The following is a 20128-nucleotide window of genomic DNA, read 5'->3' as shown; positions in this document are numbered from 1 at the left end:
TACCTATTTTGTTAGATATATATGTAAGTATTACATTTTTGGTGTGCCTATGTAAATAGTATTAAGATTTTAATTTCAACTTCCAGTTGTTTATTATTGGTATGTAAGAAAGCAATTGAGTTTTGTATATTAACCTTGTATCCTGCAACATTTATGGGAACTGATTATTAATTTCAAGAGTTTTGTTTTTGTTTTTTTTTTTTGGTATTTTCTACATGGATATGAAACAAAAACGGTTTTATTTCTTCCTTTCCAAACTGTATGTCTTTTATTTTCTATTCTTCACTGGATTTTCTAGGATTTCCAGTACAATGTAAAAAAGAAATGGGGAGTGAGGACATTATTGTCTTGTTCCTGATCTTAGGGGAAAAGCACCTGGTTTCTCATTATTATGATGTTAGCTCTAGTTTGATTTTTGTTGTTGTTTTATTTTCCTTTGTTTTTGATGTTATTTATCAAGTTGAGGAAATTTCCCTTTAATTCCTGTTTCCTGGAGAGTTTTTTTTGTCATAAATGGGTGTTAGATTTTGTCAAATGCTTTATTCTGTATTAATTGATATCATAATATTTTTCTTTCTTAGCCCATTGATGTTATAGATTACATAAATTTATTTTCAAGTGTTGAACCAGCCTTGCATACTTGCAATACATTCTTTTATATTGTTGTGTATAATTACTTTTATAAATTGATTTGCTAAATTTTTATTTGAGGATTTTTGTATCTATGTTCATGAGAGACATTGGTCTATAGTATTTCCTTTTGTACTGTCCTTTATTATTTTGCCATTATGGTAATGGTGACCTGATGTAATGAACTATGAAATGCTTCCTTAGTTTCCATTTTTGAAGAAATTTTGAAGAATCAGGATAAGTTTTTCTTTCAATTTTAGAAGATTTTACAAGTGAAACATTCAGGGCATGGTAATTTGTTTTATAGACTCCTATTAATTATTGATAAATTTCTTCAGTAGACACAGACCCAGCCATATTATCTATTTTTCTTAACTGAGTTTTGATAGTTTGTGTTTTTCAAGGAATTATCAAATTTGTAGGCATAGAATTGTTCCTAATATCCCTTTGTTATTATTTTATTGTGCACTGGATTAGTAGTGATGATCCTTCTTTAATTTTAATATTAATGAACTGTGTCATTTTTGAATTCTTGGTAAGCCAGTCTGGAATTTCTATAATTTTAGTAATCATCTTAAACAACAAGCTCCTGATATCATTGATTTACTCTATTGTTTTCCTGTTTATAATTTTATTTATTTATGCTTTATTTTTATAATTTCTTTCTCCTGCTTGATTTAGCCTTAATTGCTCTTATTTCTTTGGCTTACTTATTAATTGTATATGTTTTCCCCAATATATACATTTAATGTCATAAATTGCCCACTAAACACTGCATTCAATGCATCTCACAAATTTTGATGTTTCTTTTTCATTTTCATTTGGTTCAAATATTTCTCTAAGTTTTATTAAAACATAACTGACATATAATTTATGGTACACAATATGATGTTTTCATGTATGTCCTATGTAAAATGATTAAATAATGCTGTTTAGCATATCCATCCCATTACATATTTATCATTTCTTTGGGGTGAGAACATTTTGGATCTATACTCCTCTTAGTAATTTTCAAATATACACTACATTATTATTAACTATAATCATCATGTGGTACAATAGATCTCCAGAGCTTATTTATGCTGTCTAGTTGAAACATGTACCCTTTGACAAACACCTCTCCTCCCCCACTGCCAACTTCTGGTAAACACCATTCTATTCTCTGCTTCTATGTGTTCAACAGTTTTCAGATTTTACATATAAGTGATATCATGAAGTATTTGTCTTTCTGTGTCTATCTTATTTCACTTAACATGATGTTCTCCAGGTTCATCTACCAGAAATAGTAGTAATTCCTTCTTTCTCAAGGGTGATTAGTATTCTATGTATACGCTATGTGTGTGTATATATATGTATGTGTGTGTATACATGTATGCATCAAATATGTTCACACACACACACATACAAGCATAACACATTTGTTTTGTCCTTTCATTCCTCAATAGACATTTAGTTTGATTCCATGTCTTGGTTATTGTGAATAATGCTGCAATGAACATGGGAGTGCAGATGTCTCTTTGGCACACTGATGTTATTTCCTTTGGATATATAACCAGTGGTGGGATTGCTGGATCATATGGTAGTTCTATTTATTAATTTTGTTATCTTTTAAAATATAACTTGAGATTTTTACTTTGACCCATATATTATTTAGATGTGTAATGTTTTTTCTCCAAAAGTTGTACTGTCTGCCCTAAACTTTGCAATACATCTTTCCATTAACCTAAGTATACTATCAAATAATGCTTTACTATCTTTTTTATGAAATTCATCATATCCTCATTTATTAAACTTACATATATTAAATGTCGTTACTCACCACTGTTTTCTCTTCTTTCACCTTGTCTCTCTTATGTTTTTTTTTTTTGGTCCCCTTTTTTTTTTTAATTATACTTTAAGTTTTAGGGTACATGTGCACAACGTGCAGGTTAGTTACATATGTATACATGTGCCGTGTTGGTGTGCTGCACACATTAACTCATCATTTACATTAGGTATATCTCCTGATGCTATCCCTCCCCCATCCCCCTACCTCACAACAGGCCCCGGTATGTGATATTCCCCTTCCTCTGTCCAGGTGTTCTCATTGTTCAATTCCCACCTATGAGTGAGAACATGCGGTGTTTGGTTTTTTGTCCTTGCAATAGTTTGCTGAGAATGATGGTTTCCAGCTTCATCCATGTCCCTACAAAGGATATGAACTCATCATTTTTTATGGCTGCATAGTATTCCATGGTGTATATGTACCACATTTTCTTAATCCATTCTATCATTGATGGACATTTGGGTTGGTTCCAAGTCTTTGCTATTGTGAATAGTGCTGCAATAAACATATGTGTGCATGTGTCTTTATAGCAGCATGATTTATACTCCTTTGGGTATATACCCAATATGCTTTACTATTTCTAAGATAGTGCAGGTAACTTACAAGTACTCAACATTTCTCCTGTGCATCTCTTATCACATTTTTGTCATTCATTACACTTACCTATGGGCAATAATCATCCAATACATTGTTGATAATATTATTTTGAATAGTTATTTGTTAGACAAATTAAGAATAAGTAAGAAAAGCATGATTTTGCCTCTATTTATTTCTTTCCTGATGCATTTTCTTCTTAAATGTAGATATAAATTACTGACCTAAGTAATTTTCCATCTCCCCGAGGAATGTCTTTTAACATTTCTTGCAAGACAGGAAAATTGAGTCCGAACTCCTTTAGTTTTGCTTCTCTCTTTATTTTTCCTTCAGTTCTTTAGGATAATTTCACTGAATGCAAGATTAAACACTATTGGATTATTTTGTTTACCACTTTAAACATTTTATCCCCCTCTCTTTTTGTTTGCATTATCTCTGATATGAAGACCTATGTAATTCTATTCTTGTTCCACTATAGTAAGGTGTTTTTTTCCCTCTCATTTCTTTAGTGTTTTTCTCTTCGTCTTTGATTTTTTCTAGAGTGATTTTGATATGTCTATTTATAGTTTTTAAAAATTTATCTTGTTTTGAGTTCTCTGAGGTTCTGGGATCTGTGATTTCATGTCTTTCATTAATTTTCCATAATTTCCAGCCTTTATTACCTCACACACTGCTTTTTTTCCTTCTCTCTTTTTTCTGCTTGGTGTTCTCATTAGGCTTAACCCTTTGTAGAGTGTAATTAATGCCTCTGAGTTTGTCTGTTTTGGGGCCCAAGCACCTGTGCTTTGTACTTCTGTACCAAAGTAAAGTTAACACTAACTGACAGAACTTTTGGCTCCTCCACTTGAAGATAAATTTGCTCCAGTAAGCCAAGGATATTCCACCTAAATGAATCTCAGGTGCACATCCTCAGAAGTAAAGCAGGTAGCTATCACATCCTAGGGCAGTAAATGACGTCTGTGTACAGAGCAGCAGAGGTTACTTTGTACACAATAAGAGCCTATAGCAAGAGATAGACAAAAAATGAAACAATTCTAGAATTCCATGAGGCTGGCTGCTCCTGGATGGTGCAGTGTGTAAAACAATTATTGTATTCTGTGGTCCAAGACCCTCTTCCATACCTCCATTTCTATGATGTGGGTTTCCTGGTCAGGTTCTATGCTGTGTGGGGTTCCATGCATGTAGATTAGCCAAGCTCTAACCTCTTGGATAGTGGTGTTAAATGAGGCTGTGCTGGGTGAAAAGACAAACCCATCCTCAGATTAGGCAATTATTTCTTTAAGGAAAAACCTCTGACCGTTCCAGAATTTAAAAGGTCCACTGTAGTCTGTTTGCCACAACACATAGTGGCTGGTTGGTCTCCTCAAGTAACAGTAACACACTGAGGCTCAGCACTCATCTTTGTGCCTTGCCTATTTGACAGTCAGCAGCTAGATCAGCTTTGGTAAGTGCCATCCCAGCAGGGTTAATTGTTACCCTTCATCTCTGTAAGCATGCAGTCTGTTCATGTGCTATTGTGCAAATTCTGTGCTGGACAGCGATGATGGCTGATTAGTGTCAAACAGCTGGGTTATTTTGCCTATTTAGTTGGTCAGTGTTTGTCTTCCCATAGGCATTAGCACACGATACAAATGTCTTCATGTATCTGATATGGTCTGGCTCTGTGTCCCCACTCAAATCTCATCTCAAATTGTAATCCCCATGTGTTGGGAGAGGGACCTCATGGGAGGTGATAACATCATGGGAGCAGTTTGCCCATGCTGTTCTTGTGATAGTTAGTGAGTTCTCATGAGATCTGATGGTTTTATAAGAAGATTTTCCCTGCTTGGCTCTACAGTTCTCTCTCCTGCCACCATTTGAAGAAGGGTGTGTTTGCTTCCCCTTCCACCATGATTCTAAGTTTCCTGAGGCCTCCCCAGCTATGCAGAACTGTAAGTCAATTAAACCTTTTTCCTTTATAAATTGCTCAGCCTTAGGTATTTCTTCATAGCAGTGTGAACATCATACTCTCTTCTGTATGTACACCCATGTGCTTTAACCAGAGCTCTGGCTTGCCATATTCCAGTCCTTTTTTTCCTCAGGTTTTTGACCAGCTGTACCTGGTCCCTAACAGTGGCTATTAGCCACTGATATGGTTTGGCACTGTGTCCCCACCTAGATCTCACCTTGAACTGTAATTCCCATAATCCCCACGTGTCAAAGGTTGGACCAGTTGGAGGTAATTGAATCATGGGGGCGATTTCTGCGGCACTGTTATTGTGATAATGAATCAGTCTCTCGAGATCTGATGGTTCTATAAGCATCTGGCATTTCCCCTGCTTGCACTCACTCTGTACTGCCACACCGTGAAGAAGGTGCCTGCTTCTCTTTTGCCTTCCACCATGATTGTAAGTTTTTTGAGGCCTCCAAAGAAATGTGGAGCTGTAAACCAATTAAGCCTCTTTCCTTTATAAATTACCCAGTCTTGGGTATTTCTTCATAGCAGCATGAGAATGGACTAATACAGCGACTGTCCAAAAATCTGAATATACCTCATGCTGGTCCACTGCTTCTACACAAAGTGATGACAAGGTGCACTACTGGAAGATTCTCTTTCTCTACTGTCTTTTATAAACATCTCACATTGTCAGTGCATTGTGGCTGCCATTCATTGTCAGAGTGTGCCCATATCCTGGCTTAACCAACGCTTTAGCAGGTGGTTCTGGGCTACCTGATCAGGTAGCTTACTCATGGCTCTGGTCGTGCTTGGCTTGATCCTGGATATTCTATTTCATCCTGCAATGGACTGCTATGATGCCCTTATGGTATTGTGACCTGGCGTGGGGTAGGGTAGGGTGATAGAAATCTGCTCCTAAGGGACAGCTCTGGGTTCTTGGTCTCCAGCTGTTCCATGGTCAAGAGTTTCAGTTTGGAACACTCAGAGCTCCTTCTCTAGAGGCTTATCAATCTCTTTGTGCATGCCATGACTTTGCTCCAAGATCTCAGGGTCATGTGTTTAGATTCTTCCACTAGGGCTTGGCATAAACTCCCCCTCTGCATCTTATTTTCACATTTCTGATGTGAAATCAGAATTCCTTTCCAACCCATAGTGTCCTAGACAACCTATACAATGGGAGAAAAATTTTGCCGTCTATCCATCTGACAAAGGCCTAATATCAAGAGTCTACAAGGATCTTTAACAAATTTACAAGTAAAAAACAAACAACCCCATTATAAAGTGGGCAAAGGACATAAACAGACACTTCTCAAAAGAAGACATTTATGCAGCCAACAAACATATGCAAAAAAGCTCAACATAACTGATCATTAGAAAAATGCAAATGAAAATCACAATGAGATACGATTTCACACCAGTCAGAATGGCTATTATTAAAAAGTCAAGAAACAACAGGTGCTGGTGAGGTTGCAGAGAAAAAGAAACACTTTTACACTGTTGGTGGGAATATAAATTAGTTCAACCTTTGCAGAAGACAGTGTGGCAATTCCTCAAACATATAGAGGCAGAGATACTATTTGACCCAGCAATCTCATTACTGGGTATACACCCAAAGGAAGATAAATCATTCTATTGTAAAAATACATGCACACATATGTTTATTGCAGCACTATTCACAATAGCAAAAACATGGAATCAACCCAAATGCCCATCAATGAGAGACTGAGAAAAGAACATGTGATACGTATATACCATGGAATACTATGCATCCATAAAAAAGAGATCATGTTCTTTGCAGGGACATGGATGGAGTTTGAAGCCATTACCCTCAGCAAATTAATTCAGGGACAGAAAATCAAACACCGTATGTTCTCACTTATAAGTGGGAGCTAAATGATGAAAACACATGGACACATGGAGGGGAACAATACACACTGAATGGGGCCTGTCAGGGGGTATCGGTGGGAGGAAGAGCATCAGAAAAAATAACTAATGCATGCTGGGCTTAATACCTAGGTGATGGGTTGATAGGTGCAGCAAACCACCATGGTACACATTTACCTATGTAACAAACTTGTACATCCTGCACATGTACCCCAGAACTTAAAATAAAAATAAATACTAGCTGGGTGTGGTGGTGCACATCTGTAGTACAAGCTACTCAGGAGGCTGAGGCAGGAGGATCACTTGAGCCCGGGAAGTCAAGGCTGCAGTGAGACATGATGGTGCCACTGCATTCCAGCCTGAAGAGCAGAGTGAGACCTTGTCTCAAAAAAAATAGTAAATAAATAAAAAAACCACGGGTGGGGTGCAGACCACAGCAAAGGCCATGCCTCACCACTTCCCCCTCTCCTGCCCCTTGCCTGGCTCCTTGGCCCCTTCTACAGTCCGTTCAGCTTCTGGTCTGCCATGCCCCCTATTCACTTGCCAAAACTTTGAGGACAGAGCTCCTTTACCCTGTTCTTCTGAAGCCTCTACTTATGGATTCTCAAGCGCTATGTTAGGAAAAAAAGGAAAAATGAAACAGTATTAAATTAACAAGTTTGCATTTCTCCCCTAACAGTTGAATTCTCCTGGAGGCCATGGTAATGCTCCTGGGTAAATGGAGGAAGGGTCAAGAATTATGGAAAATAAAGCTGAAACTTAATATCACAAAAGCTTAAGGCGTCATAAAAATGCACACAATATGCAGATGTCCATGAGCATAACCCCATGGCCCAAATCAGGTTTAAGCTGGGTGGTTTAGCCCCAGGTTTTGTAAAGTTCTATAAAACGTTTTCTGAGAATCAAGTTCTGTTCTTAACACTGTATGGTGGAAACTGTGCAGTTTCTACTTTTCCCTTTATCCCTTATTGCTCTTCCCTTTTTATCTTGTCTTCCACTTTAATCAAGACCACAACCTAGGAGGTTGCAGGCTTTAAGAAGACATAATTATATAAAAGAATGAAGAGTCAGAGAGGCTGCTAGTCTTCATCCATTTTCAACTATTGCAGCTGCCCCCACCTCTGCACAGATCCCTCCATTGCTGATCGATTTTGAGGAGCCAAGGATGGCCAGCTCACACTGGAGAGTGGCATTTCCTTCACTCAGAGGCCCTCATTTGACATTGACTGGTCACTTTATGATGAATTTTATTAATACACCTTTGATGATTAAGTCACATATTATCCTTTTAACCCTCTCCAATAACTTCTGTATTTTACAGCGATTTTCCATGAAATGCACACCATGCTACTTCTTCCATATCTACAAGGTATGCATGGGCTGCCCACTCACAAAAATAAAGCCAAGTCAGGTCCCGAGAAGGGCTGGCATTTTCATGTAAATGGCAAGTTGTACATCAATGTCAGATTAGCTGCGAGGTTGTTGCAACACTGAAACCTGACCTGACCGGCTGACAAGGCAGGATTTCCACAGAGGGGACGATATTTCTGAAGCATCTGTATCTCTGAGCTTTTGATGTATGAGTTGATCTTTCCCCAATAGCTAGCGAGAAAAGCACTCTTGTTAGTATTTAAAAATAATAAAAAATGAATCCTTTTTTTTTTGGCTCTATCCTTTTCACTTCAAAATATCCTCTTTCCAAATTACCTATTGCAATATTAGCCTTCAGGAGTTGGGCTAATGGAAGTAGACACCAGTCAATGCCCCTCCTGCTAAAAAAACAACAATGTATTGTGCACTGATGTCAATTGTACAACCAGAACATTCTCTGAGGCAAAAGAATGGTTCCTCTTCTCATAGACACTACGTATGTGTTAGAAAATGTGATCCAGGATGTAGCATGGTGGGCTACAGTAGCAAGAGTGTAGCCAGAGTAACAGAACAGCTGTTGTTACTCTTGAACAGATAGACGGTGGGATCTCAGGGGAGGAGGAATCAGAGAGTGACATTCTTTCTTTTACAAAAGGCAATGCCATCATGACCATTTCCTCCCTGGAAAAAAAAGATACAGGCTTTTTCCTGAAATGGTTTGAGTCATACCACTGTGCACAGAGCACAGGATTCCCTCAGCCTAGGCATGCAACAATACGTTCCAGGCACTGTATGTGGAGATCATGGCATCAGTGTACTCACTCACAGGCCCCAGCAGCAATCCATCTCTGCTAGTTTCCTTACGTCTTTGTTCCTCCTTTTCTCTGCCCCATCTTTTAAACATAAATTATCTGACAAGTGGGTGAAATCACAGAATGACACTTTGCACTTGGAAGAATAGATACGGCTTAAGTCAGTAGTGGAGGACCAGCTCTAGCCTGATGCCCACCTCTCGCTCCTGACCTCCCCTCTGAGCTCCAGTTCCTGATTTCCGGGGCCTTCTGGATGTTTTATGCGGGTTGATTCACTGTCACGTGTTGTTATCTTTCCCCAAACTGCTGGCAGCCCTGACTTTATCGATGTGAATAATAAAAATAATAGTATATTAATAATACCAGTCTTTTCTAAGTTTCTCAAATTTCTACTTGCCTTCTTCCTGTAGACCGGCAACTTTTGAGCAATGAATTTTCTAAAACATGCCCATAATTATGTTTTTTTGTTCAAAAACATGTTATGGGATCTTACTGCCTCATCGTTGTAAAACCTTCATCCAGGTACTCCAGGCTCTCCGTGGTGATTCCTCAACTTCAGTTTCCCTAAATGTCAGCCACGATCCCCCTTGGTTAATTCCACATTTGGGTCAGGTCATATTATACACTTGTCTCTACACCTGGCCCACAGCTTTCCCTGTCCATTCCACCTCCACCTCTGCCTGCCTAAATGCTACTCTCTGCAAAACCCAGGCAAATACCATCTTCTTTAAGAAGTATCTCTGTTCTTTTCAGAGACTGAAAATTCCTATCCTTGGACAAGTTATAAATGTCACATGCCCATAAACAGCTTCAGGCTGGGGATGATGCTTCCTGATGTCTCTGCATTCATGGGACTCAAGAAGGGAAACCATCCTTATGGCAGGTCCAAGAGCTGTACTCTTCTCAAATCTAGCCTAACTTACCTGAGGAGTCAGGTGCCATAGTTTTATTTTTATTTATTTTAACTTTTATTTAAGGATGTCTAGGTTCGTTTCACAGGTAGACTTGTGTTTGTATTATACAGATTATTTCATCACCCAGGTATTAAAACTCATATCCATTAGTTATTTCTCCTGATGCTCTCTCTCCTCCCACCCTAACCCCTGATAACCCCCAGTGTGTGGTGTTCCTCTCTATGTGTCCATGTGTTCTTATCATTTAACTACCACTTTTTTTTTTTTTTTTTTTTTGAGACAAGAGTCTCGCTCTGTCGCCCAGGCTGGAGTACAGTGGTGCTATCTCGGCTCACTGCAAGCTCTGCCTCCCGGGTTCACACCATTCTCCTGCCTCAGCCTCCTGAGTAGCTGGGACTACAGGTGCCCACCACCACACCTGGCTAATTTTTCATATTTTTAGTAGAGATGGGGTTTCACTGTGTTAGGCAAGATGGTCTCGATCTCCTGACTTCGTGATCTGCCCGCCTTGGCCTCCCAAAGTGCTGGGATTACAGGCGTGATTCACTACCACTTACAAGTGAGAACATGGCAGTATTTGATTTTTTGTCCCTGCATTAGTTTTCTGAGGATAATGCCCTCCAGCTCTATCCTTGTCCCTGCAAAGTACACGATCTGCTTCTTTTTATGGCTGCATAGTATTCCATGGTGTACATGTACCTCATTCTCTTTATCTAGTCTATCACTGGTGGGCATTTGTTGTCGATTCCATGTATTGGAGAAATGCAAATCAAAACCACAATGAGATAGCATCTCACACCAGTCAGAATGGCTATCTTTAAAAAGTCAAATAATAACAGATGTTGGTGAGATTGTGGAGAAAAAAGAACACTTACAGACTGTTAGTGGTTGTGTAAATTAGGTTAACCATTATGGAAGACAATGCAGCAATTCCTTGAAGACCTAAAGACAGACATATGATTCAATCCAGCAATCCCATTAATGGGTATATCCCCAAAGGAATATAAATTGTTCTACTATAAAGGCATAGGTGGGCGGGTGCGGTGGCTCACGCCTGTAATCCCAGCACTTTGGGAGGCTGAGGCAAGTGGATCACGAGGTCAGGAGATCGACACCATCCTGGCTAACACAGTGAAACCCGTCTCTACTAAAAATACAAAAAATTAGCTGGATGTCGTGGTGGGCACCTGTAGTCCCAGCTACTCGGGAGGCTGAGGCAGGAGAATGGCATGAACCCAGGAGGCGGAGCTTGCAGTGAGCTGAGATCGCACCACTGCACTCCAGCCTGGTGACAGAGCGAGACTCCATCTCAAAAAAAAAAAAAAAAAAGAAAAAGGGAAAAAAAGGCATATGCATGTGGATGATCATTGCAGCACTATACACAATAGCAAAGCCATTGTTTCATTTGTGGATTTCTGTTTGGGCTTCAGAGGGTTAACACAAACCCAAGTGTTTATAGTGAGTGTGTTTAAACAGCTTCAATATGGGAAGTGGCTGGAAGGTCACTGTCTAATGCTGTGAGGTTGGCTGGGAGTGTCAGATGCATATGGATTATGTTTTAGAGCCTAAAGTGCTAAGTTTTAAATAAGATATGTAAGACATAAAATTCTAGAAACACAACAAAAACACGCCTGACATCATTTTAGTGAAAATTTAGATTAAAATGCCAGAATTGAGTTATTAATCAGGTTAGTAGCGAAAACAGTTTAGCTACCCATGTTTTAGCTTCAGTGATTATCTGGGCAAATATTCTGAGCCTGTGGTTGAAAGCCATTCTGAATAAATTGTATTCCGATAAGTATTTGCCTTGAATACCAAGTTTCTTCCCTTAAATCAACACAAAGTGAAGACTGCACACTCAAACAAGGGGAGAAAACTGATTCACACGAAACTTCATCTCTAACCCATCTTGCTGTCTATGATATTTTTTTCTACTTTTCTGTAGGTGCATTGCGAAAAGAAAATGCTGCCTTTCTGAATGGTGGAGAAGTACATATTTTAAAAAGTCGAATTCAGCTTACAAGATACTCAGGGAGTGAAGGGTCTAATATATCCTAAGGGGCTGTTACAGACTAGACTAGGGTTCTAATTTAGGGAAAATTAAAATACATTTTAGAGTTAGCTTTACAGTGTCTTCAAGGTTGCAGGGCTTTTATTTTTCAATATAAAATGTATTTCAGTAATGTATGGTAAGACAAGGACATACGTCATCATATGCTAGTTTACGGCTCATACTTTAGTGAGGACCTATGGAAGGAGGCAAACCACACCTTGACCTAAGTGCATTTGCACAATCATGTGATTATTTGTGTAAGATGCTATATCTATTAGTCATAAGCTATGTCACTTTTAGGATGCCGGAGGAAAAATGAAACCAATGTGAGAAGATTTAGTTGGATTCTAAAACGATTTGTGATCCTGGACTGGTTCTTCAAATTCCTTCTCTTCCCTGAAATGCCAAGCCACCTTCCTGAGTGTTTTGGCATTGACAGCTGATGTCTCCTTTTTATTATGGATCTTCAAGTCAGAAGTGGTATTTGGTTCTCTTAATCAACTTACGAAGAGAAGACTACCCAAATGGGAATTTGTTTAATCAAAGAGAGCATCATAACACAAATAGTCACAAAATTGATTAGTTATAATTGTGGTAATTTCATTCAGTTCTGGGACATCTACAGTACATACTTAGTTCCACAGACCCCACTGCCTGTGACCTAGTTGGCCAAATTTAAAGTTGAGTGACAAATTTTAATTATGAAGCTGATGAAGGTACTTATGCAAAATTATTTCTAATCAATTATAATTCAGTTTTACTCACTGATAATCTACTGGAGTCTAATACATTAATTTAGTGTACTCTAGTATTGAACATCAATTGCACTAATGCTAGGAGCTGTGGGTGATCCAAAGGAATGATGTATATGGGGCAGCTGATGTGCCAAGTCCCCTCTCACTAGAGAACAAGGAAGTGGAAAAATATGTAACCATAAGATCAGCAGAAAGGACAGATGTGGTAGTTTGGCTAGTGAGAAAACAACTGAAAAGATCCATCTGAGTAAGCTCCTAAAATTCCAAAGTCATTTCTTAAATATGCTATTTTTAAGATGATACTGCCTGCACATTTTCCATGGAGATGCTTATTTTTGGACCATCTGTTGATGGTAAATATGTATCATGTGCCCTCTAAAGCCTCTATGTGTTGTCTACTCACTATTTTACAGCTTCTGACTTGTGTCAGATACTGAAATGTCACTGTTATCCAGTTTGTTGGCTTATGTGACAGAGATCACCTAAGTGCTCACTGGCCTCCTAGACACCGGGGCTGCTTTCCTTCCCTGACTCACTTTCAGCCAGATTGGGTGTCTGGGACAGCTTCTGTCACTGTGTTGCAGGTAGAGGTGGTTTCTGCTATTTTGGAGCCTGGCCTCTAACAGCCCATGAGACTCTCGGCTCACTCTCTGTCTCTGCTTACAAGCTAGAAGAGATACTGTCTGAGACGACAGAGATGCACAATGGAAGGAATCGTGATCTCTAAGCCACTGCTTGAAAGAGATTGGTCAGGGCATCTGTTCAACTTGCCTGGGTTCTACATGAGAAGCACGTCTTGCTTTTGTTCAGCACATTCAGCGAGTGATTGCCATTACCCTGACGCATGCTGAAGTTGACAAGTCTTGGACCAAGGTGCCACCTGCACTTGCATATTCATACTGCCCAATAACACTCACTGGGTTGCGGGAAATAAGGCAGAGATTAAAGTCTAGGAGGTTGCAGAGTTCGCCCTGCATGGACTGAAACATTGGAGCTACATCAGGCTGAGGATGCTCTGGGTTGGCTTTCCATGCTTGTTTGTTTGTTCATGGTTCAGTTTGTGTAATTCAGCCACCACTGGCCCAAAAATCCAAAGAAAAATTCCCTTTTCCCACATGTTACTGACCTGGTTAGAAAAGCCATATTAGGGGTAATTTTGAAGAGCCACTGTTTTGAAATACGGTTTCTCTTCCAGCCTGAGCTTCTCAGCTGACCTGTGATGGAGTGTTGTGCCCAAGTGGAAAGTTCTTCTTTCTTTCAGAGACATATCATTCACCATAAAATACAACCAGAGACTTCAAAATTACTCCAGGCTAGAAGGACACTCCAATTAGGGGAAAAGTAACCTATGGGCAAACCATCTTCCGTAAGAGTTCAAGGACAAAAAACTACTGATGTTGTAATAACATTGAAACTTAATGTTTTGGGCAATCCTTAAGTGATTTATTTGGAGTGTCCCAGTCATTTTAGACCTCTTCACCTTACAATGTATTGTGTGAGATTATATTTCCATGCACCTAATTTTAAAATAAATTTATTTAGGTAGATGTAGAGACATATTACTGTGATAAAGCAGTTCATACCAAATAAAATTTAGCTAATAATCCTGGCTGTGTTTTCAATCTTAGATTAACTTACATTACAAAATCTCTTTCCTATAGCAATGTTTTCAGTATTCATGTTGTTGATGATGATATGTTTAGTATAAATTACATCTTCCACTACATTATTTTATGGAAGTATAAAAAGTAAACCAGGCCGGGCGCGGTGGCTCACGCCTGTAATCCCAGCACTTTGGGAGGCCGAGGCGGGCAGATCATGAGGTCAGGAGATCGAGACCATCCCGGCTAAAACGGTGAAACCCCGTCTCTACTAAAAATACAAAAAATTAGCCGGGCGTAGTGGCGGGTGCCTGTAGTCCCAGCCACTTGGGAGGCTGAGGCAGGAGAATGGCGTGAACCCGGGAGGCGGAGCTTGCAGTGAGCCGAGATCCCGCCACTGCACTCCAGCCTGGGCGACAGAGCGAGACTCCGTCTCAAAAAAAAAAAAAAAAAAAAAATAAGTAAACCAGATAGAAACAGTTGTTCCAGTGAAGCTGAGTGGAGTTCCTAGAAAGATGACAGTCTGAATACTCTTCAAAGGTCATTCAATTCCCAGTAAGCACCTGAAAGAGATACTGTGCATAGGGCTCCAGAAACGGGCTGGCAGAAGTTGGACCTTCAGTGAGAATTTTATTTTAATAATTTCTTGATTTCAAATTAATTTGGCTGTTCCCATCTAATACATGGAACGAACAGAATGGTTCACTTATAGTTTTATACCAATCAATTTAATCACAAGTGATGTTTTAATCTGTTGAGACCACATTATCTGACTAAACAAGCTTCTACTTGCAGAAATGCACTGATGACCTCTCCTGTTCCAGAATTTCTCTATCTTCAACTCATGTATAATTTCCTAAATGTGTCCTGCTATTAAAAGCTAAAGATATTATTCCTTCAGTCTCTGTGATAAAACTGAGCTGAAAGCGAGCATTTGGGTCTACCATGGGGGAATATCACGGTCTCACAAATCTCTTTACTGAACCTGTGTAGGTTACACAAGGTAAATGTGCTGAATGTGGTCCACACTTGCATATGCATATTGCCCAATAATGTTCATAACTGCATCAACAAAGCAATGCAGCATCCATCCACCATCCTGACTTTCACCATCATGAGGCATTCACACCACAGCTGCCTGTCAGTCTCCAGGTCGGCTTTCTTTCCATGCAATGTATCTGTATTCCATATGCAAATTCTTCAGTGAATGATTTTCCTGTTTTGTAAGCTAGACTGCACCTGTAACATGTGAGACTGAGTTAAAAATGACAAGCAGACAAGCACAAGGCACATTATCTTGACAAACTCAGCCTCCAAAAATTACTCTGGGCCTGAATTATTAAAATAACAAGGAATATTTCATTCAGCTGTGCAGAAATGATCCTAATTGTCCACTTTAGCTAAATCTTTTCAGTCTCTGAGATCGGTCAATTTACACTGGTGGCTTGCAAATTCCTCAACTCCCATTAGGGAGATGCACAGCAGCAGCCCAATGCACCCTCATTTATTTTAATAACCTGCCAAGCAGACATGAAAATGTTAAAGTTGGAAGGCTATAACATGACAGGATCCTGACTTGTCAGAGCCACATTATAATCTAGTTAAAATACTTTCTTTCTCCCTTTCATGTCTCCTCAGGTAAGTGGGAAACTAATTGTCAAATTACTAATTTTGTTGGCATTAATATCAATACCAAGACAAGAAGAGCATGAACTGTTGAGCGAGAGGTTTTTCTTCTATACCTTCTGCTGCTGCTGGGGAAATTACTCTGGAATCAAGTAAAGAATTAAATTGGTATGATCCATTTGCTATTTGGTACTAACCCGTTCTTGCAGGTGCTGTTTATTAATACTGCCAGTTGAACAGGCCAATTCTACACTATCTGGCTTGGTTTTGGTTCTTATTGTGCAGGTCATCATGATAATAAACAAATATGAAGCATTTACTTTGTGTTAATGAAGCATAAATGGTTATATGCACAGGGGCTTGATGGGTAAAGTCTTTCCAGAACTTCCAATCTGGTCAGAACTTGGATGATTCTAAATTCTGGATTGTGCCTGTTGTCCTGGCAAAATTATTAATATCATCATCGTTCACTCTCAAAAGTGTCCTGTTTTGATGATAAGTTATGTGACTATCCTGGCTACAAATAACAGATATGAGATTGTGGGTTACTCATACGACATGGGCTGAAACATGGTTTTTGAAGTATTTTGTGAAGACTTTTCACAACGGAAAGGACAGGGTAGAGAAATGGGGTTTATGCTCAAAGTGAGGTAGCTCAGCAAGAGGATGAAATGGCACCTGACAAGAGAAAGTTTCCTAAAGATCAGCCTCTAAATATTTTTCTTCTGGAAGCAAAGGGAGGGAAAATGTGCTCCATGGCTCAGGGATTGTGATGCTGTTCATTTACTGGGTTTTGGTCTTGGAAAAAGAGAAGGCTTCAGCTGCAGAAGCCAGGTCTGTTTGCTAACCAATTTTTGCTATGCTGAAAAAGAGGAAAGAGAAGAAACAACATTAAAAATGGGAACAAATTATTTTAAGAAGGATGGAACTCACAGAACACATCTCTGTTTGAGTCTCCAATGAAAGCAGATTATAAACTTTGCATGGCGACTTCATTTACCAGCACAAAAATTCCTTCAGTTCATAAAACAGAACCTCCCTTTTCACCATTGGCATCTAAACTTGGCAGTCAAACTGTGGGATGTCACACATTCTTGAGTATGAAAAATTTAAAGTATTCAGTTTGTGAATTCATCATATTTGCCTATTTCCCCACAATGTGTTTATTCTATTATATTTTTTCTCAGCATTAAAAAATTTTAGAACCATTATAAATCACAGCATCTTTGCTATTTTTTCTGTGGAAGAATCTGATTATTTGTTTTGGTGCATTTAATTGAGAGAATTGAATAAAAATAACCCCTTGTATGAAAAGTTGATATTTTCTTTTTCTTTTCTTTTTTTTTTTTTTTTTTTTGCATACCATCCCATTTATTTGAAATTCCAGAAAAGGCAAAATTAATCTGTGGTGAAAAAATCATAACAGCAGTTCCTTCTAGCAGGGGATTCACTGGGGAGGTACACAAGAGAAATTTCTGGGTGCTAAAAATGGTCTGTCTTGATAGGGGTATGAATTACATAAGTGTATTCATTTTTTTCTTTTTAGTTTTTTTTCCTTTTATTATTATTATACTTTAAGTTTTAGGGTACATGTGCTCAATGTGGATGTTAATTACATATGTATACATGTGCCATGCTGCTGTGCTGCACCCATTAACTCGTCATTTAGCATTAGGTATATCTCCTAATGCTATCCCTCCCCCCTCCCCCCACCCCACAACAGTCCCCAGAGTGTGATGTTCCCCTTCCTGTGTCCATGTGTTCTCATTGTTCAATTCCCACTTATGAGTGAGAACATGCAGTGTTTGGTTTTTTGTCCTTGAGATAGTTTACTGAGAATGATGGTTTCCAGCTTCATCCATGTCCCTACAAAGGACATGAACTCATCAATTTTTATGGCTGCATAGTATTCCATGGTGTATATGTGCCACATTTTCTTAATCCAGTCTATCATTGTTGGACATTTGGGTTGGTTCCAAGTCTTTGCTATTGTGAATAGTGCCACAATAAACATACGTGTGCATGTGTCTTTATAGCAGCATGATTTATAATCCTTTGGGTATATACCCAGTAATGGGATGGCTGGGTCAAATGGTATTTCTAGTTCTAGATCCCTGAGGAATCGCCACACTGACTTCCACAATGGTTGAACTAGTTTACAGTTCCAGCAACCGTGTAAAAGTGTTCCTATTTCTCCACATCCTCTCCAGCACCTGTTGTTTCCTGACTTTTTAATGATTGCCATTCTAACTGGTGTGAGATGGTATCTCATTGTGGTTTTGATTTGCATTTCTCTGATGGCCAGTGATGGTGAGCATTTTTTCATGTGTTTTTTTGGCTGCATAAATGTCTTCTTTTGAGAAGTGTCTGTTCATGTCCTTCGCCCACTTTTTGATGGGGTTGTTTGTTTTTTTGTTGTAAATTTGTTTGAGTTCATTGTAGATTCTGGATATTAGCCCTTTGTCAGATGAGTAGGTTGCGAAAATTTTCTCCCATTCTGTAGGTTGCCTGTTCACTCTGATGGTAGTTTCTTTTGCTGTGCAGAAGCTCTTTAGTTTAATTAGATCCGATTTGTCAAATTTGTCAATTTGACAATTAGATCCCAAATGTCAATTTGCCATTGCTTTTGGTGTTTTAGACATGAAGTCCTTGCCCATGCCTCAACACTTGTTTTTAAAAAATTAAGCTGTTTCTTGGGAGTTCAGACAGTCGTAAGTTTGTGCTTAGTCTTAATTTGCACATTTGCACATGCAATTAGCAGTTCAGGTGCTGCAGGTGAGCATAGGCACCTGGGTCAGATATAAAACAACCATCTGCTTTTTTGATCCAGTATGAATATGCTTACAGGCTACATCATAGGGGGCAAAGTCATTGCTTTCTTTTCCCAAAATTGAAAAACGATAAAGAACTGAATTGCTAAATGAAGAGAGTTATTTGTCAAGGTGCTCAATGGGAACCTGGGGCATGGGGAATCTGCAGGTCATGAAGACACCTGGGGAATGAAAATCCAGGAAGAACATCAGCACCTGCAAGCAGACAAGGTGCACCGAGCACCCCAGAGCTGGTGGGTGAGAATGAGAAGAAAGCAAATACTACACTGTTGAAAGTTGTATTAGTCCATTTTCATACTGCTATGAAGAAATACCTGGGACTGGGTAATTTATAAAGAAAAAGAAGTTTAATGAACTCACAGTTCCACATGGCTGGGGAGGCCTCACAATCATGGCAGAAGATGAAGGAAGAGCAAAGGCATGTTTTCTATGGCAGCAGGCAGTAGAGCATGTGCAGGAGAACTGCCCTTTATAAAATCATCAGATCTCTTGAGACTTATTGACGATCATGAGAATAGCATGGGAAAAACCTGCTCCCATAATTCAATTACCTCCCATCAGTTCTCTCCCATGACACATGAAATTATGAGAGCTACAAATCAAGATGAGATTTGGGTGGGGACACAGCCAAACCATATCAAAATCTAACACTGTAACACTGGTTTTCTATTGCACCTAAAATTCAAAACCCAAGTTGGAGATGCCAACAGGATTGATCAGCATACTAATTCCTTGTTTATAATCCTTCGAGGGCTCCATGTATCCTGCAGCAGCTTTCCAGCAAGGGCCTGGAAGTATTGGTCCATCCATGCAGTGCCTCTGGCCTCCATGGGCATAGAAGGTCTGGGGAGTACCTTGAGCTGCATGGAAAGTATCCTCACTTCCAATCTTCTACTGTATAGTTTCAAGAAGGATCCTGTAAGTGTTCACTTACTTGCTTCATGAAAAAAAAAAAAAAAAGATCTGGAAATTCAGTAAACCTCTAAATACAATTTAATTTAAAGATTTTTCCATTTCAGGAGTGATTGCCATCACCATCACAATTGCACACAGAAACTCTGGTCTGATCATCCACCTCTCCTGGACAGTGGTTTTGGCCTCTGTAATTTGCACATGGTAATGCCAGCATGTCAGGCAGCGTGTTTCAGTCATGTGTGTATGTCAGTAGAAACACAGCAGAAGCATTATCATACTGCCAAAAACTATATTAGGGAAAGAATGATATAAACAGACAAACAGAAAATCAAACATGTTGATGCTTCTACCAACAAGCTGATCAAATTTTTTATTAAACGT

General features: G+C 39.1%; 2 long non-coding RNA genes across 23 annotated transcripts in view; one reads left to right on the top strand and one right to left on the bottom strand.

The window, feature by feature from the left end:
- LOC107986400 (uncharacterized) overlaps positions 1-20128 on the top strand; it is a 137038-nt gene that overhangs the window by 77403 nt on the left and 39507 nt on the right. For 12 of the 22 annotated variants that reach the window (XR_001742579.2, XR_007059117.1, XR_001742574.2 and 9 more), the window contains one exon: positions 13970-14378. The exons of 1 other annotated variant lie outside the window; for it this stretch is intronic. This is a non-coding gene — a long non-coding RNA (uncharacterized LOC107986400). Of the gene's footprint in view, positions 1-4886; positions 4981-7548; positions 7899-8190; positions 8528-13358; positions 13648-13969; positions 14379-16013; positions 16204-20128 lie in introns of those variants that run through there. 9 more of the 22 variants (XR_007059116.1, XR_002956207.2, XR_001742565.2 and 6 more) reach the window with 6 other exon arrangements.
- Positions 14986-16370, bottom strand: LINC02114 (long intergenic non-protein coding RNA 2114). Its single transcript, NR_104619.2, has 2 exons — positions 16199-16370; positions 14986-15614 (listed from the first exon to the last, which is right to left on the bottom strand). It is a non-coding gene; the product is annotated as a long intergenic non-protein coding RNA 2114 (long non-coding RNA).

Source organism: Homo sapiens, chromosome 5 (genome assembly GCF_000001405.40).
Source record: "Homo sapiens chromosome 5, GRCh38.p14 Primary Assembly".
NCBI classification, from domain to species: domain Eukaryota; kingdom Metazoa; phylum Chordata; class Mammalia; order Primates; family Hominidae; genus Homo; species Homo sapiens.
The sequence above is the reverse complement of the archived record's forward strand: the minus strand, read 5'-3'. Positions and strand labels throughout refer to the sequence as shown.